Below are 26,826 nucleotides of genomic sequence, written 5' to 3' on the forward strand. Positions count from 1 at the left end.
CGCCTCTTAAAACTTAATCCAGCTGGGTGCGGTGGCGCACGCCGGTAATCCCAACACTTTGGGAGGCTGAGGTGGGCAGATTGCTTTATCTCAGGAGTTCCAGACCAGCCTGGGCAAAACAGACCTCATCTCTATTAAAATTTTTTGAAAAGATCAACGAGGAGTGGTGACCTGTGCCTGTAGTCCCAGCTACTTGGAAAGCTGAGGTGGGAGGATCATTTGAGCTGGGGAGACAGAGGTTGTAGTGAACCGAGATCAAGCCACTGCACTCCAGCCTAGGCAACAGAGGAAGAGCCTGTCTCCAAAAAAATAAAAACCTTGATCCAGTTTTGGGAGGCTGAGGTGGGAGGATCACTTAAGACCAGGAATTTGAGACCAGCCTGGGCAACATTGTGAGACCCTGTCTTTACAAAAAATTTAAAAACTAGCCAGGCATGGTGGTACACATCTGTAGTCCTGCTACTTGGGAGGCTGAGGCGATAGGATGGCTTAAGCCCAGGAATTCAACGCTTCAGTGAGCTATGATCATACCACTGCACTCCACCCTGAGTAACAGAGCGAAACCCTGTCTCTAAAAACAAACAAAAAACTTGAATGCGCTCAAATTATTTCTTCTTGCTATCTGTTTTAAGTGTACAATTGAATGATTTTTAGTAATTTATTGAGTTGTACAATTATCACTGTAGTCTAGTTTTAGAACAGGAGAGATTGGTTTTAAAATTTAATTTTATATTTCAGTTATGCAGAACATTTACATGGTTGCAGCATATAGAACAAGGTTATATTCAGAGAGGTCTGTCTTCTAGTCCTGTCCTCCTTCCCCCTCCTAGCTCCCTTCCTCTAACTATAGATAATATTTTATTTGTTTTTGACTTATTCTTTTGTTGTTACACGAATAAGACAACATTTGAGCAGAGATGGGAAGGAATTGAGGGAACATACTGTGTATGGTATTTTACATCTTGTTTTTTCTGCTTAATGATCTATATTGGAGATCTTTCCATTTTAGTAAAAGAGAGCTTCACTCTTTCTTGTCATTGCTTTGTACTCCATGCTGTGGATGTACCATAATTTATTTGACGACATCACTCTTGATTGATTGATGATCCCTTTAAAAAATATGAATAATGGCCGGGCGCGGTGGCTCACGCCCATAATCCCAGCACTTTGGGAGGCTGAGGCAGGTGGATCACAAGGTCAGGAGATCAAGACCATCCTGGCTAACACGGTGAAACCCCGTCTCTACTAAATATATAAAAAAAAAAAATTAGCCAGGTGTAGTGGCAGGCACCTGTATTCCCAGCTACTTGGGAGGCTGAGGCAGGAGAATGGCGTGAACCCAGCGAGTGGAGCTTGCAGTGAGCCGAGATCGCGCCACTGCATTCCAGCCTGGGTGACAGGGCAAGACTCTGTCTCAAAAAAAAAAAAAAAAAAAAGAATAATGCTGCAGTGAATAACCTCACATGTATGATAAATTTCCAGAGGAGGATCATTTCCTCACATGTATGATAAATTTCCACATGTATGATAAATTTAACCTCACATGTATGATAAATTTCCAGTGGATACACTGGGTCAAAGCATAACTGCATATATATATATATATATATATTTTTTTTTTTTTTTTTTTTTTTTTTGAGGCAGAGTCTCACTCAGTCGCCCAGGCTAGAGTGCCGTGGCACAATCTTGGCTCACTGCAACCTCCGCCTCCCGGGTTCAAGCAGTCCTCCTGCCTCAGCCTCCCAAGTAGCTGGAATTACAGGTGCCTAGCACCATGCTCAGCTATTTTTTTTTTTTTTTAAGACAGGATCTCTCTCTGTCACCCAGGCTGGAGTGCAGCGGTGCGATCATGGCTTACTGTAGCTTCAGCCTCCTGGTCTCAAGCAACTCTTTGACCTCAGCCTCCTGAGTAGCTGGGACTACAGGCTCGAGCCACTGTGCTCGTTTAATTTTTGTGTTTTTTGTATAGACAGGGTTTCGCCATATTGCCCATGCTGGGTTCACTAGTGTGTTTTAGCATTTAGCATACTTAGGAATGTTGTGGTTTACAAGTAACAGGAAACCCATTCAAACTGTTTAAATTTTAAAGGGGTGTATTGGTGTATGTCACTGAAAATTCCACAGGTACAGTGGGCTTCAGGCATGGTTTGATTGGGATGCCAGCTCCGTTTTGCTGAGATTCCATTGGTTCTGCTTTCTACCGTGTTTCAGCCCGGTTTAGGTGGCAAAACAGTGGTGGAAATGTTAGGCTTCACATCACCGTACCACATAGACCAAAATGAGAGCTAATATCCAGGATGAGAATGAACAGCTCTTCTAATCAGGCTGTCATAAAAATAAGGAAGCTTATTTTATAGAAGCCTTTACCAAACCTCCTTCTTTGACTTGTTGTTCCAAATTGGATTAACCAGCCCATTCCTGCGGCCAAGGAAATACGCACTGGTTAACCCAGTCTTTACTAACCCATACCTTTAGCAAAGAGATTGGATTACCCAACAACTTGATTGCTCTGGAGACTACTTTGGAGTTGGGGTATGAGATAGTAGATAGGAGAATGATCTGTAAGTAGATATTGGATAAGCGAGTAAGAAATGCAAACTACACTGAGGTCTTGCACTGGTCTAGGTTTTGGGACCCAGATGTAATAGACATAGTTCTTTTCTCGAGACAAGCTCATAGGAGAACCGGTACAGCAGGGAATACAACACACTGGAATTGGCACATTGAGTGCACCTTTGACTGCATTGTACTGTTTCGTGGTTTAAACCTGTCTTTCCTTTGCCCTTGCTGTTTGACTACTATGATTGAGCTGCCACCTTTTCACACAATATTGGAATTTTTTGTTTGAATCTCTGTTTACCCTACTGGACTGTGAATCTTGAGGGAAGAAACCATATCTTATTGATCATATCAATAAGTGCCTGTACGTAGTAGGCACATTATGTTCATTTTTAAGTTGAACAAAATTGGAACTAATTTGTTGAAATTATAGTCCTCCAACAAGGACTCACTTGAATACATCAGATAATCTTTCTTTCTTTTTCTCTCTCTCTCTTTCTTTCTTTTTCTTTCTTTCTCTTGCTCTCTCACGCTCTCTCGCCCTCTCACACTCTCTCGCTCTGTTGCCCAGGCTGGAGTGCAGTGTGATCTCAGCTCACTGCAACCTCTGCCTCCTGGGCTCAAGCCAGCCTCCCACAGTCTCCCAAACAGTTGTGACTACAGGTGTGTATCACCATGCCCAGCTAATTTTTGTGTTTTTTTGTAGAGACAGGGTTTTGCCGTGTAGCCCAGGCTGGTCTTGAATTACTGGACTCAAGGTATCTGCCTGCCTCAGCCTCCCAAAGTGCTGGGATTACAGGCGTGAGCCACCTTGCCAGGCCCTTAGATAATCTTTCAAAATCCCTTTCACAAGCCAAAATTATCTGCTGGTGACTGGAACTCACAGACAGAGGCTTGCTAGCCCTTTTGCATTGATTGAGAGGCTTTTCAAAATTAATCATTGCTATGATTTCAATATCTGTTCCCACCAAAACTCATTTTAGGATTTAATTGACATGGGGCCTTTAAGGGCTGATGAGATCATGAAGGCTCTGCCCTTACGAATGGATTAATGCCATTATTGAGGGAGTGGGTTAGTTATTATGAGACTGGGTTTGACATAAAAACAAGTTGGCCAATTTCCTGTCTCTGTGTTGGGCACTTGCTTCTGCTTCTGCCATGGGATGACTTCCACCAGATACCAGCGCCATATTCTTGGAGTACCCAGCCATCAGAACCGTGAGCCAAATAAACTTGTTTATAAATTACTCAGTCTGGCCAGGTGCAGTGGCTCACGCCTGTAATCCCAGCACTTTGTGAGGCCGAGGCGGGCGGATCACCTGAGGTCAGGAGTTGGAGACCAGCCTGGCCAACATGGCGAAACCGTGTCTCTACCAAAAATACAAAAATTAGCCAGGCGTGGTGGCGTGTGCCTGTAATCCCGGCTACCCAGGAGGCTGAGGCAGGAGAATTGCTGGAACCCAGTGGGCAGAGGCTACAGTGAGCCAAGATTGCGCCGCTGCACTCCAGCCTGGGTGACAGAGCAAGACTCTGTCTCAAAAAAAAAAAAAAAAAAAAAAATTAGTCTGTGGTATTCTGTTAATAGCAGCAGAAAATGGAGTAAGACAGTCACAACCTCCAATCTTATGTTGTTAGAATTCTTTTGGGATAACCCAGAAGGAAGCTTTACATAGTGTCTTCATTGCCTGAAACTAGCTTTGTTTGGAAGTTTTGCTTTCCCTATCCTGGTGTCCTGGAGAAAATGCTTGCACTCTCCCTTCCAGAAGCAGGTGGCTTTGCTGCTGTCTCTACTTCTTTCCCATTAGTTGCAAGAATTACACTACTCCTTACATTGCCTTTTTCCTCCCTTTAAATTATAGAATCGGTGTACACGTAGTTAGCAAGACTGAAGGCATTATTAGCTCAGCTAATTTAAAAATGATGGCTGTTGTGCTCAGGGCTTTCCTTGATGTGGCAGCAGTCTGACTTTGCCAGGGAGCTCAGAGAGTATCTCACAAGTTGAGCTGGAAAGGGCTTCACAGAACCCTGACTGATACACTGGAAGTGCCACATTAGACCAGGCTTTGGTCCATTTGCCACTCCTGGCATCCCTTTGGAGCCTCTACCCTTAGACTCATGACACCTTTCTCTCTCTTCCTCATGGCCATATATTGACTTCCCAGCCACTTTTAATCATTGAAGACTCCAGTGCCTGACTCACAGCCTTCCTTTCCACTCCAGTTCCCGCCATCATCTTGGGTGGTTTCATCTTCATCACATGACCCAGGAAGTACCTTGGTGCTAGCTTTCTTGGCTTCCATGTCCACCCTACTAATCTCCTCTAGTCCACCTCTGGCACTCTCTCCCACAGTGACATGCGGGATCTTGTCATCAGCTGAAATGGTTTAGCTCCAAAATCGCTAATTCAGATAGAAACAGCCTTCTACTGCAATATGGCCTTGCTTCTCACTGCTCTAATTTCTCCAGGATACTGATGACTCAACTTCATGTTGCCAGATCCATTGGACACCGCTTGGCCCACAACTTCCTTGACCTCTCAGCAGCATTTGACACAATTGATCATCTTCTCTTTATTGAAACATTCTTTGTCTTGACATTTTAACCTCAACTTTTTTTTATACATTTTTGACCCACTCAGTACTTCACCTCCTTTGCTAGTTCTTTCTACTCTACCTAGAATTTAACTATCGGATTTCTTTAATTGCTCAGTCCTCTTCCCTTTTCTTTTCCATTATAAGTTTCTGCTATATCAGAAGTCATATTTCCTTTTTGTTCCTAAAATTGTTTCTTGTGCCTTTTCTCCATCACCAAAGGAAAAACTATTTATTGCAATAAATTAATACAGCAGGTATTCCTGTGAAAGCGCAAGTTAGTTTGTTAGGGCAATTAAAACTTCTACGACATATGCTCCGGCAGAGTTCCGTCTCTGCCACTGGCAGCTTAAGATCTGCCTTCTTGAGAGTGGTTTTTGCCAGTTCCTTTTCCCACTCAGTTGCCTTTTGCTTTCTGGACCACCTGTTTCCAGTCGTGGGTGTGGTCATTTTTGGGTGGAACTGTGGCTCTCCCCTCCTCAGCTCCAGTCATGGGTGTGGTGATATTTGGGTGGAACTGTGGCTCTCCCTCCTCAGCTCCAGAGCTCCTGTGCACTGTCATTTTTCTGCTGCTGCTTGGGTGGCTGCTGGGTTCAGTCACCAGCTTTAGCTTCACCCCTTCATTCATATTTTAATTTTTTTCTTGAACAGACTTATAAGAGTTTGTCAATTAAAATTTTTTTCAAAGAGTCAGCTAGTATCTGCTTTCTGTTTTGTGAATGTCATCTTTATTTCCTTTCTTTAGGTTTACTCTGTTCTTTTTCTAGCTTACTGAATTGAAAACGTGTTCATCCTTTCTTGCTTTTTAATGGTGGCTCAAGGCTGTAACATTCCCTCTAAGTGTTGTTTGAGGAGCTTCTTGTATGTTAGCTGTGTGGGTATAATCATTGTGGTATTAAATAATAGTCTTCAGCATGTCAAGACCTAATTTTTTGTTTCTTTTTCTTTTCTTTTCTTTTTTTTTTTTTTTTTGGAGACAGGGTCTCACTCTGTTGCTCAGGCTGGAGTGCAGTGGTTCGATCACAACTGTCTGCAGCCTTGACCTCCCAGGCTCAGGTGATCCTCCCACCTCAGCCTCCCAAGTAGCTGGGACTACAGGCACGTGCCACCATGCCTAGCTAATTTTTTATTTTTTTTTAGTAGAGACAGGGTTTCATCATATTGCCCAGGCTGGTCTCCAACTCCTGGGCTCAAGCAGTCTGCCTGCCTCGGCCTCCTGAAGTGCTGGGATTACCGGCATGAGCCACTGGACCAGGCCTAGTTTGTTATTTCCATTTTTATTCTCTCCTTAATCTTTGAGTTCTAAGCAAGTGATTTTCTTTTTTTTAAAGACAGGGTCTCACTTGGTCACCCAGGCTGGAGTACAGTGACATCATCACGGCTCACTGCAACCTTCGCCTCTTGGGCTCAAGTGATTCCCCCATCCCCCACCCCCCTTCTCACCCCCAGATTGGACTATAGGCGTGTACCACCACGCCTGGCAGAGACCGGGTTTTGCCGTTGCCCAAGCTGATCTCGAACTCCTGAGCTCAAGCGATCTGCCCGTCTCAGCCTCCCCTAAGCAAGCATTTTTAAGTTTCTATGCTGTTTAATTTTTTTTAACTGATTAATTTATTTGCATTGTGTGGTCATGGAATATGTTTTTATGATATTGGTTGTTTGAGATTTGGTGAGTCTTTCTTTGTAACCTAGTTAAACCATTCCATATCTTTTTAAAAGGATGTATATTCCTTATCTGTTAGGCTGAAGGTGACATATATCTGTGCATGCATGTTTGATGAAGTTTGTAATACTGTTCACATGTCCATATCATTACTATTTTTATGACTGCCCCTCTTATTTATCAGTTTCTGATAGATGTGTTATAAATATCTCATTGTGATTCTGGACTTGACAGTTTCTCTTTGCCAGTTTTGCTTTATATTAAATTCAAAATTGTTAGTCTGTGCATTGTTCTTTGTGTTGGTATACTATACTCTTCATTATCTCTATTTGTTTTTGCCCTAATTTTGTTTTGAGGATTGGACAGTTTATTTTGGTTACTATTTGCATGGAATGTCTTTATATGCCTTACTGTCTTGTCACTCATGAGACTGTCTTTTCCTTTACCTCACTCCCTCCACCTACTTTCACTCTATCACTAATTCCTATTGATTTTCTCTCTGAAGTATATATCTTGACTACATCTGCTTTTGTTTTCACTGCCCTCACTCATCTCACCTGGGCACTGTACAGCCTCTGACTGGTCTCCTGGTCCACTGTTGCTCCCTCTAATCTATTCTCTGGAGAGCAGTCAGTGATCTTTAAAAATGTGAATCGGATTGTCACTCCCAGGCTTGAAAATCTTTCAGTGGTTCCTGTTGCTTTTAGCATGAAAGACTAAATTCCTAACACAGCGTACAAGCCCTGCATGAAACTACCCCTTGCCTACCTTATCAGTCACTCTTCCCTTCATTATATCTTTCTGACTTGCTGGCTTCCTTTTAATTCCTCTCACAAACCTTAACCTTTTTTGACATAGATTCTTCTTCTTATTTATTTATTTATTTGACACAGGGTCTTGCTTTGTCTTCCAGGCTGGAGTGCAGTGCTGCAGTCATAGCCCACCGGTAACCTCAAACTCCTTGGGCTTAAGCTATCCTCCTGCCTTAGCCTTCCAAGTAGCTAGGACTGTGGACATGTGCCGCCACACTCGGCTAATTTTTTTCTTTCTTATTTTTTTAGAGACAAGCTCTCGCCATGTTGCCCAGGCTGGTCTCTAATTCCTGGCCTCAAGCTGTCCTCCTGCCTTGGCCTCCAGAGCACTGGGATAATAGTTGTGAGCCACCGTGCCCAGCCTAGATTCTTCTTAATATACTGTTTCCTTTGCCTGGAATGTGCTTCTATTCCTCACTCTCTGCCCCTTCATCTGTTTAACTCCTACTCCTTGAAATCTTAGCTCATATGTAATTTTGTCCAAGCGTTTTACCCTGACCTTCAGACTAGATCCGGTCTCCCTGTTACCGTCTACCAAGTCGCCTCTCTAATGCATGCCACGGTAGTAATTAAATAAGAAATTGAAATGTAATGTCTCTTTACTCCCTACCCACCAAACTAGATTGCAGACTATTGAGGGCTGATTTTATCTGATTGATTGCTGAACTCCTGTCTATTCTGCATGCTAGCTCAGTGCCTTTGATGCATTATAGGTACTTCATAAATATTTGAATGAATGGATAAATATACAAGGGACTTTGTCATTTACTTATTGACAGTGGGCAGACTGCTATGGTAAGCATATTGTATGCAGTAGGTATTTGGTTAAATATTTTCAATGAACAGTTGTTCGCCTGATCTTTCTCATCTGTGTTTGGTGACATGATATATTTAAAGAACAGCAGGTGGTTATTTGTACCCCTCATTTCTCTCTACTGTATTTCTCTCTTCCCCCCACTTCCCATACATCTCCCATATCTTACCATAGCACTGGTAACAAACAGGTACAGGCATGAAAGAAAGACCTGAGAAATCTGCCTAGTTTAGGAGCTTTTTTAGAAGGCAAGCCTGTTAATCATTCAAATCACTAAATCAATTTGCTGTGTGGGAATTTTTTCTTAATTGGCAGCAGTAAAAAGGAAAAATTTTTCCCCCCAAAGATAAAAATAGAGTAGTTTATTGTAGAAAATTGGAAAACTCAAGGAAGAAAAAAACTCCATATCCCACAGCTGTTAGTAATTTGGTATTTTTACCTGTCAGTCTTTTTTTTTTGGTGTTCAGTTATATATTTTAAGCATAATTTAGGTCCCTAGTACCGAGTATTATGCCTGGCACGGTGTAGGTGCTCAGTAGTTAGAGAATGAACCCAAGTATGTGTTTTTTCAATTTTAAAATGGCTGCAGCTTCCCAGTTTGGTATGTAGATGAGCATTGCTTTTTTTTGATGGTGTTCATAACCTGTTTTAGAGTAGTTGAACTTTATATGAAGGTGTGACTTTTAAAAAATGAGCCCATTAGATCATTGTAAAAAGTTGTTTGGGTTAAATATTTTTGGAGTCACCTGTGAGTTCTTTTTTTCACGATCTACTTCCAGTCCTTTCAGTAGAGCCTGTTGACTCTGCCTCTAAATATATCCAGAATCTGAACACTTCTGCTTCTACCACTACCACCCTAGTTTAAGGAAGCAGCGTCTCTCACTTGGATTATTACAGAGGTCTCCAACTGGCTGCCCACCTCTATCCTTGCCTCTTACAGTCTGTTCTCCTGATGTCAGCCAGAGTGATCGTTTAAACAGTATAGGTCAGATCATATTCTTCGCTGCTTAAAACTTTCTAATGTGTTTCTATAGCGCTTAGAATAAGATCTGAATTGCTTTTGATACAGTGCTTTTCCCCTCCCCGATTCCCCAGTGTGATTTGCTGCCACCTCCTCCTCATTTATTCCATCCATTGCATTCCATGAAGAGCAGCTGCACCCCTCCCCGTCCCACCCGTGGAGCCAATGGTACACGCTCTGCTTAGAATCCTTAGCCCCTCTGCTTAGAATCCCCTCCCCAGTGGCCATGGCGCTGGCTCCCTCACTTCTTCAGGTCTCTGCCCAAATGTGGTTCTGTGAAAGAAGCTTTCTCTTAGCCCTGCCCAGAAAGGCACTGCCATCACCTTTCCACCTCAGTCGTTCCACTCCCCTTTCCTGACTGATTGTTCTTCATGTTCCTTGCTGATGTTCATTTTGTTGCCTGCTTACTGACTAGTCCCACCTAAAATCTACAAGAGGAGGGCTTTATCTGTCTTTGTTGGTGAGATACCAGGATCTAAAATGGTGCCTGAAGCATATAGAATTCAATAAATATTGGATGAATGGATAGTGGATATTCTCAAGTAACTTTTTTTTTTGAGGTGAAGTCTCACTCTTGTCTCCCAGGCTGGAGTGCAATGGCGTAATGCTCACTGCAAGCTCTGCCTCCCGGGTTCAAGTGGTCCTCCTGCCTCAGCCTCCCGAGTAGCTGGGATTACAGGCGCCTGCCACTACACCCGGCTTATTTTTGTATTTTTAGTAGAGACAGGGTTTCACCATGTTGGCCAGGCTGGTCTCGAACTCTTGACCTCAGGTGATCCACCCGACTCGGCCTCCCAAAGTGCTGGGATTACAGGAGTGAGCCACCGCGCCCGGCCTTTCTCAAGTAACTTAGTGAGAAAGTCTGCATTGGGAATTAGGTATTGTGACGTCTCATAGGCCTATTTTATTTTTTAATAGGTAATACGTTCACATGGTTCAAAATTCAAAGAGCATGCAATGAAGTCTCTCACACTTTGCCCTCCAGTGCCACCCTGTCCCCCTCCTCTGAAGTAACCAGTATTAAGTTCTTGTATGTATTTCCAGAGATAGCCAATGTTTTAATACACAAAATTACAGATATAGTTTTCCTCCTTTATAAAAATGCAAACTTTAGCATCTGCACTGTTTTACACCTTGTTTTGATTTGTATACTTCGGAGATTGTTCTTTGTCAATAAAGACATTATTGTGTAAAAGCATCTTTAATGCCTGTACAATATCCCATTGTGTACATTTATCATAATTCTTCTTTTGATGGACATTGATGTTTCTAGTCTTTACACGCTATACTGCAATAAATCACTTTGTACATACATCATTTTGCCTTGTTGCTAGTATATCTGAGGAATAAATTCCTGTGAGGAATTGCTGGGTGAAAAGGATATGTGCATTTGTAATTTTAGAGACATAGTCAAATCGCCTTCTAAAAATTGTACCAATTTTTACTTGTGGCATAGTGTATTGTTATTTTGATCTTTGCTAATTTGACAGATGAAAGATGGTATAACACTAGAGTTTTCTGGTGTTTCTTGTGCTATGAATTAAGCATTGTTTTGTATATTTAAGAGCCATCTGTATTTTCTATGAGTTGTTCATGTCCTGAACCCGCTTTTCTACTAGGATTCTGGTCTTTAAAAAAAAAAAAATTAAGTTGGTAGGAGATCTCTTTTATGATTATTTATTTTTAATTTTTAAATTTTTTTAGAGATGGGATCTCACTGTGTTGCCCAGGCTGGTCTGCGATCGTTCCACCTCAGCCTCTGAGCAGCTGAGACTATAGGCATGCACCACCATGCCCAGCTTTTTATATAAATTAGCCCTTAATCTGTGATCTGAGGGACAGACATTTTGTTCCATTTGTCAGTTGTCTTCTGATTTTGCTCATGGTAGTTTTTTCCTACATAGAAATTTGCTTTTTTTCCCTTTATTTTTCTTCTTCCTCCTCCTTGGGAAATTTCATTTTTGTTTTAATAATTATTATTATTTTTTGACATGGAGTCTAGCTCTGTCACCCAGGCTAGAGTGCAGTGGCGCGATCTCAGCTCACTGCAACCTCTGTCTCCCAGCAATTCTGTCTCAGGCTCCTGAGTAGCTGGGATTACAGGCATGCGCCACCATGCCTGGCTAATTTTTGTATTTTTAGTAGTGACGGTGTTTCACCATGTTGGTCAGGCTGGTCTCAAACTCCTGACCTTGTGATCTGCCTGCCTTGGCCTCCCAAAGTGCTGGAATTACAGGTGCAAGCCACTGCGCCTGGCCTCTCTCTTTTTTTTTTTTTTTTTTTTTTTTAGGAGACAGGGTCTTGCTCTGTTACCCAAGCTGGAGTACAGTAGTATAATCATAGCTCATTGTGACCTCAAGCTCTTTGGCTCAAGGGATTCTCCCACCTCAGTCTGGTGAGTAGCTGGGACTACAGGCATGAGCCACACTGTTGGCCTCTTCTTGTACCTCTGAGGTTTCATTTCTTACATATGATTTCTTTTTGATACTGCTGAGATTTATTCTGGTATAAATTGTGAGGTGAGATTTCACCCCATGTTTTAAAAAACAATTTTAGGATTTCTTGATCTTTTATGTCTTGTCTGGAGAGTAATTTGTCAGCTGTTTTCTGCTAAACTGTGAGTGGTGTAAGACCAGTTAGCTATGCCCTGTGTACTTTTCAGTTTAAGACATAGTTGCCTGTATCTTCCCAAAGATCTTATCTTTCGTTGACTTAAAAATAACGGTGGAAATACAGCCTATTGGGGAGTATTGTGTTAAAACAAATTTTATAGAATTTTCAGTTGGTAAAGATTGATAAGATTAGTAATAATAGGTAATTATGCATTATATTTAAGGAATATGTTTAGTACATTATATAATGCTAACGAAATAGGGATTTTTCTGTTTTTTATTTTTGTTTTTTTGTTTGTTTTCCTTTTTTTTTTTTAATTTTTATTTTTATTGATCATTCTTGGGTGTTTCTCACAGAGAGGGATTTGGCAGGGTCATATGTGGAGGGAAGGTCAGCAGATAAACAAGTGAACAAAGGTCTCTGGTTTTCCTAGGCAGAGGACCCTGAGGCCTTCCGCAGTGTTTGTGTCCCTGGGTACTTGAGATTAGGGAGTGGTGATGACTCTTAACGAGCATGCTGCCTTCAAGCATCTGTTTAACAAAGCACATCTTGCACCACCCTTAATCCATTTAACCCTGAGTGGACACAGCACATGTTTCAGAGAGCACAGGGTTGGGGGGTAAGGTCACAGATCAACAGGATCCCAAGGCAGAAGAATTTTTCTTAGTACAGAACAAAATGAAAAGTCTCCCATGTCTGCTTCTTTCCACACAGACACAGCAACCATCCGATTTCTCAATCTTTTCCCCACCTTTCCCCGCTTTCTATTCCACAAAACCACCATTGTCATCATGGCCCGTTCTCAATGAGCTGTTGGGCACACCTCCCAGACGGGGTGGTGGCCGGGCAGAGGGGCTCCTCACTTCCCAGTAGGGGCGGCCGGGCAGAGGCGCCCCTCACCTCCCGGACGGGGCGGCTGGCCGGGCGGGGGGCTGACCCCCCACCTCCCTCCCGGACGGGGCGGCTGGCCGGGCAGAGGGGCTCCTCACTTCCCAGTAGGGGCGGCCTGGCAGAGGCGCCCCTCACCTCCCGGACGGGGCGGCTGGCCGGGCAGGGGGCTGACCCCCCCACCTCCCTCCCGGACGGGGCGGCTGGCCTGGCGGGGGCTGACCCCCACCTCCCTCCCGGACGGGGCGGCTGCCGGGCGGAGACGCTCCTCACTTCCCAGACGGGGTGGCTGCTGGGCGGAGGGGCTCCTCACTTCTCAGACGGGGCGGCTGCCGGGCGGAGGGTCTCCTCACTTCTCAGACGGGGCGGTTGCCAGGCGGAGGGTCTCCTCCTTTCTCAGATGGGGCGGCTGGGCAGCGACGCTCCTCACCTCCCAGACGGGGTCGCGACTGGGCAGAGGCGCTCCTCACATCCCAGACGGGGCGGCGGGGCAAAGGCACTCCCCACATCTCAGACGATGGGCGGCCGGGCAGAGACGCTCCTCACTTCCTAGATGGGATGGCAGCCGGGAAGAGGCGCTCCTCACTTCCTAGATGGGATGGCCTGTTTTTTATTTTTATTTTTTATTTTTATTTTTTTGGAGGCAGCCTTATTCTGTCGCGCAGGCTGGAGTGCAGTGGTACCATCTCAGCTCACTGCAACCTTCACCTCCTGGGTTCAAGTGATTCTTCTGCCTCAGCCTCACGAGCAGTTGGAACTACAGGCTTGTGCCACCATGCCTGGCCAGTTTTTTGTATTTTTAGTAGAGATGAGGTCTCACCATGTTGCCCAGGCTGGTCTCAAACTCCTGAGCTCAGACAATCCACCCACCTTGGCCTCCCAAAGTGCTGGGATTACAGGTGTGTGCCACCGCGCCCGGCCTGTTTTTTTCTTTTTTTAAAATTATTATTATTATTATTATTATTATTATTATTATTATTATTATTATTTTTATCAATAGGTTTTTGGGGAACAGGAGGTATTTGGTTACATGGATAAATTCTTCAGTGGTGATTTCCTAGATTTTGGTGCAGCCATCACCTGAGCGGTGTACACTGTACCCAATGTGTAGTCTTTTATCCCTCATCCCCCTCCCACCCTTCCCCCTGCGTCCCCAAAGTTCATTATATCATTCTTGTGCTTTTGCATCCTCATAGCTTAGCTCCCACTTACAAGTGAGAACGTATGATGTTTGGTTTTCCATTCCTGAGTTACTTCACTTAGAATAACTAGCCGGGCGAGGTGATTCACGCCTGTAATCCCAGCACTTTGGGAGGCCAAGGCGGGCAGATCATGAGGTCAGGAGATCGAGACCATCCTGGCTAACATGCTGAAACCCCATCTCTACTAAAAATTCAAAAAATTAGCTGGGCGTGGTGGCGGGCGCCTGTAGTCTCAGCTACTCGGGAGGCTGAGGCAGGAGAATGGTGTGAACCCGGGAGGCGGAGCTTGCAGTGAGCTGAGATCGCGCCATTGCACTCCAGCCTGGGCAACAGAGTGAGACTCCATCTCAAAAAAAAAAAAAAAAGAATAATGGTCTCCAGCTTCATCCAGGTTGCTTGGAATGCCATGATTATTATTATTATTGTTACATTTTCTTTATCCACCTGATTGATGGGCATTTGTGGTGGTTCCATATTTTTGCAATTGTGAATTCTGCTGCTATAAATATGCATGTGCAAGTGTCTTTTTCATGTAATGACTTCTTTTCCTCTGGGTAGATACCCTGTGGTGGGATTGCTGGATCAAATGGAAGATCTACTTTTAGTTCTTTAAGGAATCTCCATGCTGTTTTCCATAGCGGTTGTACTAGTTTACATTCCCACCAGCCATGTAAAAGTGCTCGCTTTTCACCACATCCACACCAGCATCTGTTATTTTTATTTATTTATTATTATTATTTTTTGAGACAGAGTCTTGCTCTGTCACCCAGGCTAGAGTGCAATGGCACAATCTCGGCTCACTGCAACCTCCACCTCCTGGGTTCAAGCGATTCTCCTGTCTCAGCCTCCCGAGTAGCTGGGACTACAGGCGCCCGCCACCATGCCTGGCTAATTTTTTGTATTTTTAGTAGAGACGGGGTTTCACCATATTAGCCAGGATGATCTCGATCTCCTGACCTCATGATCCACCCACCTTAGCCTCCCAAAGTGCTGGGACTACAGGCGTGAGCCACCATGCCCAGCATTTTTTGTTTTTTAATTATGGCCATTGCTACAGGAGTAAGGTTGTATCATATTGTGGTTTTGATTTTCATTTCCCTGATAATTAGTGATGTTTAGCATTTTTTCATATGTTTACTGTCAATTTGTATATCTTCTTTTGAGAATTGTCTATTCATGTCCTTAGCCCACTTTTTGATGGGATTATTATTATTAATTATTTTCTTGCTGATTTGTTTTAGTTTCTTATAGATTCTAGATATTAGTCCTTTGCTGGATGCACAGTTTGTGAAGATTTTCTCTGCAACCCTGTGGGTTGTTTACTCTGCTGATTATTTCTTTTGCTGTGCAGAAGTTTTTTCATTTAATTAAGTCCCATGTATTTATTTTTGTTGCATTTGCTTTTGGGTTCTTGGTCATGAAATCTTTGCCTAAGCCAATGCCTAGAAGGATTTTTCCGGTATTATCTTCTAGAATTTTTATGGTTTCAGGTTAGATTTAAGTCTTTGATTCATCTTGAGTTGATTTTTGTATAAGGTGAGAGATGAGGATCCAATTTTATTCTTCTACATGTGGCTTACCAATTATCCCAGCACCATTCATTGAATAGGGTGTCTTTTCCCCACTTTATGTTTTTGTTTGCTTTGTTGAAGATCAGTTGGCTGTAAGTATTTGGGTTTATTTCTGGATTCTCTGTTATGTTCCGTTGGTCTGTGTATCTGTTTTTATACCAGTACTATGCTGTTTTGGTGACTATAGCCATATAGTATAGTGTGAAGCCAGGTAATATGATGCCCCCAGATTTTTTTCTTTTTTGCTTTGTCTTGCTTTGGCTATGTGGGCTCTTTTTTGTTTTCATATGAATTTTAGGATGGTTTTTCCTAGTTTGGTGAAGAATGATGATGGTATTTTGATGGGAATTGCATTGAATTTATAGATTGCTTTTGGCAGTGAGGTCATTTTCACAATACTGATTTTACGCATCCATGGCATGGGATGTGTTTTCATTTGTGTCATCTGTGATTTCTTTTAGCAGTGTCTTGTAGTTTTCCTTGTAGAGGTCTTTCATGTCAATGGTTAGATATATTCCTAAGTATTTTATTTTATTTTTTTGCAGTTATTGTAAAAGGGGTTAAGTTCTTGATTTGATTCTCAGCTTGGTCGCTGTTGGTATATAGCAGAGCCACTAACTTGTGTACATTGATTTTGTATCCAGAAACTTTACTGAATTCATTTATCAGATCTAGGAGCTTTTGGGATGAGTCTTTAGGGTTTTCTAGGTATATGATTATATATCATCAGCAAACAGCAGCAGTTTGACTTCCTCTTTACTGATTTGGATGCCCTTTATTTCTTTTCTCTTGTCTGATTGCTCTAGCTAGGACTTCCAGAACTATGTTGAATAAAAGTGAAAGTCAGGGCTGGAAACGGTGGCTCACGCCTGTAATCTCAGCACTTTGGGAGGCCGAGGTGGGCAGATCACGAGGTCAGGAGATCGAGAACATCCTGGCTGACATGGTGAAGCCCCATCTCTACTAAAAATACAAAAAAATTAGCCGGGCGTGGTGGCATGCACCTGTAGTCCCAGCTACCTGGGAGGCTGAAGCAGGAGAATCGCTTGAACCCAGGAGGCAGAGGTTGCAGTGAGCCAAGATCGCGCCACTGTACTCCAGCCTGGGCGACAGAGCGAGACTCCATCTCAAAAAAAATCAAGTGTAAGTGGGGCCGGGCGTGGTGGCTCACGCCTGTAATCCCAGCACTTTGGGAGGCCAAGGCGGGCGGATCATGAGGTCAAGAAATCGAGACTATCCTGGCTAACATGGTGAAACCCCGTCTCTACTAAAAACGCAAAAATTCGTGCCCGGCTGAGGATTTTTACATCTCCGTTCGTCAGGGATATTGGTCTGTAGTTTTCTTTCCCTTTTTTTTTTTGGTTATATTCTTTCTGGTTTTGGGTATTAGGGTGATACTGGCTTCATAGAATGATTTAGGGAGGACTCCCTCTTTCTCTATCTTTTGTAATAGTTTCAGTAGGATTGGTGCCAATTTTTTTTTTTTGAAACGGAGTCTTGCTCTGTCTCCCAGGCTGGAGTGCAGTGGCGCCATCTCGGCTTATTGCAAGCTCCGCCTCCCGGGTTCATTCTCCTGCCTCAGCCTCCTGAGTAGCTGGGACTAGAGGCGCCTGCCATCACGCCCGGCTAATTATTTGTATTATTATTATTTTTTTTAGTAGAGATTGGGTCAGGCTGGTCCTGCACTCCCAACCTCAGGTGATCCGCCTGCCTTGGCCTCCCAAAGTGCTGGGATTACAGGCGTAAGCCACCGTGCCCCACCTTGCAGTTACCATTTCTACCATGTGGCTAACTTGCCCGAGATTTGTAATGGTTCACTTTACTGATGACATCAAATCCAAGCTAAGCCTAGTAAGTTACCCTGTCAGTGCCTCTTCAAAATCTCTCTATCATCATTTCTCCTGATGAGATTCTCCCATTCAGATATTGAACTAGCTGAGCTGAGACCATTGTTTTCACACACTTGTTTATCTATTTGTCTCACTCTTTTCTCAAGTGCCTTCCCACATATTTCTACTTGCCAATGCCATTGCCCAAGTATTTTACTTCTTACGTTTACAGAAGCTGTGAGACTGCAGGAACTGTGAAAAACATCGGTATTTGTCCCAGTGTTACTAGGCAAAAGGGGCTTGCTGTCCAATGTGCCAGAAGCCTGTACTGTGACACTGGGTTTTTGAGAAAGTTTTCTCAAAACCCAGTGAAGGGAGTCTACTAGCTATGAGAAATATAGCCAGATGAGAATCGAGCCACTGGGTTTTTGAGTATTTTCTCAAAAACCCAGTGTCGTGATATTGGCTTTCTTTTTATTGCAAGTCGACTCACAAGGAGTCAGGAGTTCAGCTCAAATCTGTCTCTCTGTGCTGGCTTTAAGGCAGTAACTTTATTAGAAAAGCTTTAGGGAGTGGATTCTGGGAGTAGCAGGTGATTGATATAAGGAAAGGGGTGGTCTGGAAAGTCTTCAGGCTTCCGCAGTTATCTATTCATGCCTCCTCATGGGTCCCATGTGCAAATTTGGGGGAAGTTAGTATGAACCATGTGGTAGAAATTTAAGCTTGTTCTACACAAACTCCAGTCACCTATATTGATTCCAACCAATTTTAGCCTGTTATGTTTTCTGTCTTACAAGTGGAGGGCATGTCAGTAAGTTGTTTCTTTTCTTATCTGCAATCCTGCAAACTTGAGAATTTCTGTTAGTCATTGGTGTCTTTAACTCTTGGGGTCATGGTTTCACCAGTCCTGAAGGATCCCTGTGCCTTGGCATCCTCATTTTTTATAACATGAGTTTGTATCTTTTGTAGGGTGGTGGAGTTTGAGATCTGTATATATGGGGTTGAATTGTTATGTGGCTAGGTGCAGTGGCTCATGCCTGTAATCCCAGCACTTTGGGAGGCTGAGGTGGGTGGATCGCTTGAGGTCAGGAGTTCGAGACTAGTCTGGCTAACATGGTGAAACCCCGTCTCTACCAAAAATATAAAAATCAGCCAGGTGTGGTGGCATGAGCCTGTAGTCCCAGCTACTTGGGAGGCTGAGGCAGGAGAATTGCTTGAACCCCAGAGGCAGAGGTTGCAGTGAGCCAAGATCGTGCCATTGCACTCCAGCCTGGGCTACAGAGTGCGACTCTGTCTCAAAAAAAAAAAAAAAATTGTTTGGCGTGTGTGTATTCCAGATCCTCAGTGAGTTCCTTGTAGGAATGGACCATGTTTGTGCACCTCTTCTCCCTCTCTTCCCTTACACCAGTGGTTCTCTTAGGCGTGGTCCCTGCCCAGCAGTATCAGCGTCCCCTCAGAACTTGTGGCAATGAAGATTCTGGGCCCCTGCACTTGAACACTGCATCAGGAACTGTGAGAGCAGGCTCAGCAATCTGTGGTGTAACTAGCATGCCAGGTAATTCTGATGGGCTAGTTTGAGAACCACTGCCTTATAGGATCTAGTATTGGTTTACCTCACAGCGAACGAAAACTCAGCTCACTGACTATTTAATTTGTAGACTATACTAATCACTGCTGATTTGTTTCTATCTCATCACAGCTCCCATTTACTGAATAGCTACACTGGGCTAGGCACTGAACTAGGTGCTGTCACATGCATTGTCCCTTATGATCTCACAGATACTTTGCAGAAGAGGGAGTGGCGCGTCCCACTTTATATTATATAGAGATGAGAGAGGGGAATCTCTGAGGGATGTAGTAACTTGCCAAGGCTACACAGCTGGTAAGTGGCAGCCGGAGATTTCAGCAAGGCCTGTCAGACTCCAAAGCCTATGTTCTTTCTAGCACCCCACCCCGCTTTTCATGTAAACTCTTGCTCCCAGAGAATGCGTGTGCCTGTGTGGCTGTCATGTGGTTTTATAATAAATGGTTGTAATACCTGTATTTCTAGATTTCTCTCCTCATATACTTAACCCACCCAATAAGCAGCAACCTTTCAGCTTTTTAAAAAAAGACTATTTTCTATTTAATAATATTCATTTATTTACAATGTGTCAGAATTAGGAGGTATTATAAAAGCGGCCTTTGAGATCATATTCTAACCTCTGTATTTTCACAGGTAGAGCCATCATATGTGCTACTCTATTTTTGTCTCAGAAATTAAACTTTCATTGAGGTGTAAATTGGTATACTACACAGTTCTGACCTCTGAACTTCTAACTTTTTTTTAAAGTATTTTTTTTTTTCTAAAAAAAAAAAAAAGAAAGAAAAAAGAAATGGGGTCTCACTATGTTGCCCAGGCTGGTCTTGAACTCCTGGCCCCAAGCAGTCCTCCCATCTCAGCCTCCCAAAGTGCTAAGATTACAAACATGAGCCACCACACCCTGTCTGTATTTATAACTTAAAAAAATTATGCTACATCAAGTACAGTAAAATCTTAACTGATTGGAAAGAGTAATTTTACTGGTTTAACTTTGCCCTTCCTCACCCCCTTCATTTTCAAATCCCTCCCCTCATATTTGTACATACATTTTCCAACAGGTGGCTAAATATTAACTTTTATTTTTTAAATGCTTTGTAAGGAATCAAATACTTATTTCCACGCTAACTCACTGTAGTTCTTGGTTTGAGTGCATTTAAAAAATGTAAATTGATACTATTAATAATGATAACAGTTACGTCGGGACGGTGGCTCACGCCTGTAATCCCAGCACTTTATGAGGCCGAGGCAGGCGGATCACTTGAGGTCAGGAGTTCAAGACCAGCCTGACCAACATGGTGAAACCCTGTCTCTACTAAAAATACAAAAATTAACCAGGCGTGGTGGCAGGCGCTTGTAATCCCAGCTAGTTGGGAGGCTGAGGCAGGAGAATCACTTGAACCCAGGAGATGGAGGTTTCAGTCAGCTGAGACTGCACTCCAGCCTGGGCGACATAGCAAGACTGTCTCAAAAACAAAACAATAATAATAATAACAGCCAGTACTTACATAGCACTTACTTTGTTCCAGGTATGATTCTGATCACTTTACATATTTTAACTCCTTTAATCCTCGAACGCTGCCTGTAGCAGGGTCACTGTTGTATTAACCCCATTTTCCCATTTTGTGGAAGTGGTGGTATATAAAAGCAAATAGCTTGTTCAAGCTCACAAGACAGAACCTGAAGGCATCTTGGCTCCAGAGTCTCTGCTCTTAACCACTCTTTAGAGTGTCTTGCACGTTTTCAACCAGAGCTTTCTCTATATAACATATCACTTTACACTTTTAAAATAGCATACTATTTATTGCAACTCCTGGGTTCAAGGGATTCTCCTGACTTAGCCTCCGGAGTAGCTGGGATTACTGCTTGGGGTGAAGAATTCTGTAAGAATTTTGTGAGAGCAGGGCAAGTACTCAGGCTTGCTGTGGGCAACAAGAAAAGTGGGGACGTTGTGTTATTTTGGGTCTCTTCATATTTAAAGACAAATCTAGTTGTAGTACTCTACACGGAGGAGAGATCAGATCTTGCTGTGTCACTTTAGAGATTCTCTTTTGGTTTGTAGTCACAGCTGCTGTCTATGAGACCTGCTGCTATTTGGAGCTTTACCCTTTGTCGTAACCATGTGAGGGGCTGGCCTGCATTTCTTAGCTTTCCATATCTTTGTACCCTAGTTTAAAATTGCTGCCTGTTTCCGCCATCCTTGTATTTGCATACAGAATTTTGCATACATCCTTGCTGACTAGAGTTTTTTTGGTGAGTATTTGGCTGCATGGCAAAGGGATGATTTTCCTGAAGGTGGCCAAAAGCTTTGGAAAGAGCTGTGGATGTGGTCTTTGTCATTAGTTCATCAGGACACATTCAGCTTGAAAGCTTTGAATTATCAAGAGGCAAGCAACTCATGTCTTCCAGTACAGTTGCTGTCTCCTGAAGAAGGCTGGCAGCATTCAGAACATAACTTATGAACTTTAACCAGATGAGTGTCATTTGGTTTATCCTAAATTTAATGAGTTTGGGTAAGTCTTCTGTAGTTCATGGCACTGTGTTATAAATAATAGAATAATTTCAGGTTCTGTCTGGTAGTTACTGTCTGATGTAGAAGCAAGAAGACCACAGGTGAGAGGAGAAGGAGACTGAGAAATGAGGGCTTTGGGTTAGATTACCTTAGTGCTCTTCCTAGTTTCCTGGGCATGGTGTACTTACAGTGAATGAGATCAGAGCTCCGAGTTGAGCTGCTGTGTTAATTGGTTGTATGATTTTAGGCAGTTAACTTCTTTGGTCTGAGTTGCAGCATCTTGAGAACAAGTGTGACTTTTTTTTTTTAATGACCATTCACCTGAGGTGACTTTTTAAAGTGCCACTCCAGCTTTATCTATTATCTGATCCCCTGATGTAAGACTTAGATTACATAAGATTTTTCCATATTATAAATATATTACAGAATTATTCACACTGGGAAATGAGTTGCTTCTGTAGTCTACTTCTTTGGGAATAGCTTTATATTTAACTTTTAAGCTAGTAGTTGCAAAATTTTAATTCTATATATTACGTCATATGAGACTGCAGTGCATTATACGAGATCATGAGTGGTAAGCTTAGCATAGAGCATAGCCATAGCATATGTGGAATTGTTGACAAGCGTTAAGTTTTGGATTATGGTTGATTTTAGCCTTCAGTGTGGAGCTTCCTATTCAGTTCTAAGTGGGTTGGCCTGCTAACCTACATTTTAAATACAGCACTGTCCCTTATTGAGACTACAAATACACCTCCTTTCCCTTTCAGTGTAATATTTTTATTTCAGGTTTCAAGATTTTAACTTCTAAATGCTAAAAATATTACTGAATACTTGAAAACAAATTTCACTGTGTAACCCTTTTAGCTGTTTCTTCTGGATTAAGGGTAGTGTAGGATTCAGTTTTCCTAGAATCTTTAGAAGACTGTAAAATTGGTGATAAATTCTCAGTTCAGTTCTTATGAAAAAGATATGGATTCATATTATAAATATATATTAGAGAAAAAATAGGGAGCTAAACTTGGAACAGATTGGATTTCCCAAAGAGGACTCTGGGGAAAGCTATCTTTATTTGCCACTGTAGCAAATTAAGAGCACACAGTGAACTGTTCTAACACTGAATGCCATTTGAAGAGTAAAACAAAAGAACTAGCCATGGCTTCCTCATCTGTTGCCTGAATGGTTGGCTTCTTTAAATAATTTTCCTGGCCTCTCTCCTCTCATTGAGTGATGTCACTGATGCCACAGAAAGATGAGTAATAGACTCCTGTGGTCTTAATTGGTGTGAAACTTTATGATTTGGCCTGTTTGGAATATATTATCATCTGTTGATGATATATCATTCCCATTCATGCATTTGCTCAGTGTTACAGTAAGCTTCCTTTTATTGTGAATTTTACTGTTCATCAAGTCACAGATTTTTCTGTGACCCTAATACCAAGCAATGACATGCTTTTAAACTACTAGAATAATTTTGAAATAGTTTTAGTAGTTTTTTTGGTTATTTTTTTCTATTAAAAAATTATATATAATATATGATTATTGACAAAAAGGCAAAAAATATTATCTAAATATTACCCCCTCTTTTAATGGTAGACACTTTTAATATTTTGGTGAATATCTTTTCAAACTGTTTTCTTTGCAAATATGTACATGTAAATAAATATATGGCCCAAACAGAATTAGACTTTTTTTATTCCATAAAATACATATATATACAGGTGGTGCATACCTGTAATATACAGGTGGTACATACCTGTAATCTCAGCTACTTGGGAGGCTGAGGCAGGGTAATCACATGAACCCAGGAGGTGGAGGTTGCAGGGAGCCGAGATTGCGCTACTGCACTCCAGCCTGGGCAACAGAGCTCTCCGTCTCAGAGAGAGAGAAAAAAAAAGAAAGTTGTGCCATGAACATTTTTTTTAGGTTATTTGAGGATATTCGACATATATGACAAATGACTAACAGCACAAGTGCCAAGTGAGTAGTTGCAGTGATGAACTAATGCTGTTGAACTTCCGATGAAGGCGAGATCAAAGCTTTTCCTCACACTAGTATTTGGAAGATCAGCTCTCTGTTACCCAAATTGATTTGAGGCTGTATTCTTCAGCTCACGCCTGGTTGGATCAGAGATTATTTGAATTACAGAAGCCAAGTCAAGCATTTTGGCCACTTGTTTTAGTAGCTGATCTCCATTAATGTTTAAGATATGTTTAATGTTCTCTCACTCTAGCTCTTTTGCTTCCTGTTTGAAACACAGCAGTGTACTATGTCCAAAATGCTGTCATATGATATACAATTACTGCTACACGTGTTGTTTATTGAAATTTTAGACATTACAGATTCAGTAGCTTGTTCTAGCTGACGCTGGGTGATTGAAAAGGGAGAAACAGCTAGATATGGTTAAAGGTGAAGTTGTAAGCATTATGAACCTTGGGCAGATCACCACCTCTTCCTGGGCCTCAGTTTCTCTGTAGGATGAGGAAATGGAAGTTTGTAGGCCCTCTGCACAACTGGGGACTTAGGGCCGTTTTCACTTAGGATGGGAACTCTTCTACCGATTGTTGCTTATGTTACTCAGCAACTTGAATTGGAAATTTAAAATCATTTATGTGCTCTGCTGAATATAATGAGCCCATGGATGGCCCAAAGGTTAGAACAACAACAGTGTAGTAGTTAGGCAGCACACAGGAATTACTCTCTGCTCTACAATGCTCTGTAATTTACCAGTGTTGTCTCAACACTTTCAGAAAGGCATAGAATTCTATCTTTAAAAAACATTTTTTTCTAAGAATTTGAAATCATCTTTTGCAGAAATGAATGCATCTTGCCTTTTCGTCAGTGTGAGATACTGGTATTCCCTTTAGAATGGGAATACGTATTCCTATACATATTTAACAGAAGGGTTCAATAAAAATAGGTCATTTGAATATGTCAGCATTTTAATGTGATGAGATCTGGTGTTAGTATGTGTGCAAATTGAATTTATCTTGATGTTTATTCATAGCTTTTCTTTAATGAAGAAATCAGTATTTCATTAGCCTAAGGAAGCCTCACAACAGCCATTTGTGGTGACTTGCCTTGCGATAGGAGATCTAACCTTCCGTGGAGTACAGCATCAGAGAATGAAGAGCTGGTAAAGATGTTGCAGTGTAGCTGTTTTTTAAGTTCATCTTTAAGAAGCTACTCTGAAGGAAGAGAAGTAGATTGTAATAGCTAGCAGTTTCTAAATGACAGGCTGCCTTAGGAAAAAGTGACATGTGAGAACAACAGAAGCTTGTTATTTCAGCAGATGCTTGACTGAGGGTGCTAGGCCAGGGAAGATGCTGCCACAGAATGTCCGCCCTCTGCTTGTTCCTGCTTTCCCCTGGTGGCCACCCTCTCCCCACCCGATGCAGAGCTCCAAAGGAGGGGCTTTTGCTGGCCCCTGGGAGAAGCCATCTGATGAGCAGCAAGCAATTCCAGAGATTGTCACTGTGAAATTTTTACTTAACGCATGTTACGCACTTTGTGACTGTGTGTCTCTTCTCATTTTGGGATGACATGAAGGTGATGTTCCACACGTCTTACATCTTGCTATTTGCTGACGTTTGACTTATTGTCTTGCCTGCCTCCCCTCTGTCTAATTCTCTGTGCCGCCTCTCAAAGCCTTGCTGCGGCTAAACGCAGCCCCTTGAACGTGGTTGGCCGGGGCTCATTCCAGGTCAGAGCCCATCAGAAGCGCGCTAGAGACAATGCACCAACGGTTGGTCTTTAGTGAAGGGGATGGGTTTGGAATGCCAAGCAAGTGTGGGCTGTACTAGTATGTTTGAGAATGAAGGAGGAATGGAAACTAAGAAAGAGAAGCTACTGTTTTGTTTTGGAAGATTATACTGGAAGGAAAACCTGCTGAAAGTGGGCTTCCACTGCTGCTGTCCTTCTGCAGGAAATTTAGGGCAGAAAGAAACATCTCTGTTTTTCCTTATGTCTGTTTCTTTGAAGGTATTAATGAATGATGAGAATTTTCAAAGCCCATATGATAAGTAGCAAGTCCTTATGTATTCAGAAGGAAACTAATGTTTCCCGAGTGCCTTTTAAGTGCCAGGGATTCTGCTGGGACTTATATTATTCCATTTTAATAAAATAATTCTGTGAGGCAAATGATTGAAAAGAAGAGGTAGATCTGGAATCTGGGCCACACTGAGAAAGGCTGGAATATTTGAGTCCCACTTCAAGAAGCCTAGGAACATGGAGTTACATGGTGATAGAATCGTAGAACTAGGTGCCACCTCACATGTCTGTTGCATCACCCCAGCAGTAGACGGCGGTGCAGCAGAAGGCACACGGGCTGGAATTTCGATGGCCAGACTCTACCACTGGGTTCCTCTGGGCGGCTGATTCTATTTTCTTGTTTACAAAATGGGAGTGGCAGTTGTACTTACTGCGCAGGTTTGTAGCGAGGTTTCAAAAAACTGATCCATGGAGGTGCTTTGTAAACTGTAAAGTGATGTACTAATATTTACTGATGGAGACTGTTTGCTTTCATGGATGGACACCCAAGAAGGCATTTATTCTTAGCATTTTGGTCAGCAAAAGAATTATCGAGATTGCGCCACTGCAGTCCAGCTGGGCGACAGAGCGAGACTCCATCTCAAAAAAAAAAAAAAAAGCATTATATATTTGCTTTTATATACATTTGGCTGTAGGTCTCTTGGTTTCTATCACTTCACTGTTCTTTTCCTCCATTTTCAGAATTGTTTCCTTTCTGTGACAGATATTCAGTGATAACCTTCTGTGTGCCAGGCCCTCTATTAGATGTTGGAGACAGGGAGGTAAATAACACAGATAAGTTCTTGTCCTTTTTGAAATGAAACACTGAAACTGTACAATTGATTACTGTTTGTTTTTCCTATGGGCATAAGTGACCCAAGCCTAACTGACTTCTTATGTTTCTGACATACATATATTTTAAACAAGTGTTAGGCTCTTTACATACTGTTAATGCCAACTGTTCAGATACGTTGGCTGTAACTACTGAATTGAAGATACTGTGAGAAACATGGATTGTGTGGGTCTTTCCATAAGGTAAACCTGGTTTTGTGGCCCCTTCAAGGGCAGCGGTGGGACTGTGGAATTGGCATCTGTGTGGTGCTGTGCAGCTGATTGTTACTTGAGCGTTAAACTGTTCGCCTACAC

The 26,826-nt window shown here is 42.4% G+C and overlaps 1 protein-coding gene across 67 annotated transcripts in view, besides 3 other annotated features; it reads left to right on the forward strand.

Annotated features, from left to right (window-relative positions):
• Window positions 1–26,826, forward strand: part of WDR20 (WD repeat domain 20) — an 85,417-nt gene that overhangs the window by 20,109 nt on the left and 38,482 nt on the right. Inside the window, exon 1 of one of the 67 annotated variants that reach the window (XM_011537346.2) lies at window positions 11,860–11,979. The exons of 65 other annotated variants lie outside the window; for them this stretch is intronic. The gene's annotated coding sequence lies outside the window, so the exon portion shown is untranslated. Of the gene's footprint in view, window positions 1–11,859; window positions 11,980–18,843; window positions 19,446–26,826 lie in introns of those variants that run through there. One more of the 67 variants, XM_006720310.2, reaches the window with a different exon arrangement.
• Window positions 12,297–13,282: an enhancer, noted in NCBI's record as "NANOG-H3K27ac hESC enhancer chr14:102638165-102639150 (GRCh37/hg19 assembly coordinates)". NCBI's record gives its function as "activates a minimal SCP1, AML or CMV promoter by ChIP-STARR-seq in naive H9 embryonic stem cells {active_cell/tissue: H9 hESC(naive)}" and the evidence as "EXISTENCE:reporter gene assay evidence [ECO:0000049][PMID:30033119]".
• Window positions 24,811–25,312: an enhancer, noted in NCBI's record as "H3K4me1 hESC enhancer chr14:102650679-102651180 (GRCh37/hg19 assembly coordinates)". NCBI's record gives its function as "activates a minimal SCP1, AML or CMV promoter by ChIP-STARR-seq in naive H9 embryonic stem cells {active_cell/tissue: H9 hESC(naive)}" and the evidence as "EXISTENCE:reporter gene assay evidence [ECO:0000049][PMID:30033119]".
• Window positions 25,313–25,812: an enhancer, noted in NCBI's record as "H3K4me1 hESC enhancer chr14:102651181-102651680 (GRCh37/hg19 assembly coordinates)". NCBI's record gives its function as "activates a minimal SCP1, AML or CMV promoter by ChIP-STARR-seq in naive and primed H9 embryonic stem cells {active_cell/tissue: H9 hESC(naive and primed)}" and the evidence as "EXISTENCE:reporter gene assay evidence [ECO:0000049][PMID:30033119]".

Source organism: Homo sapiens, chromosome 14 (assembly GCF_000001405.40).
Source record: "Homo sapiens chromosome 14, GRCh38.p14 Primary Assembly".
Taxonomy (NCBI): domain Eukaryota; kingdom Metazoa; phylum Chordata; class Mammalia; order Primates; family Hominidae; genus Homo; species Homo sapiens.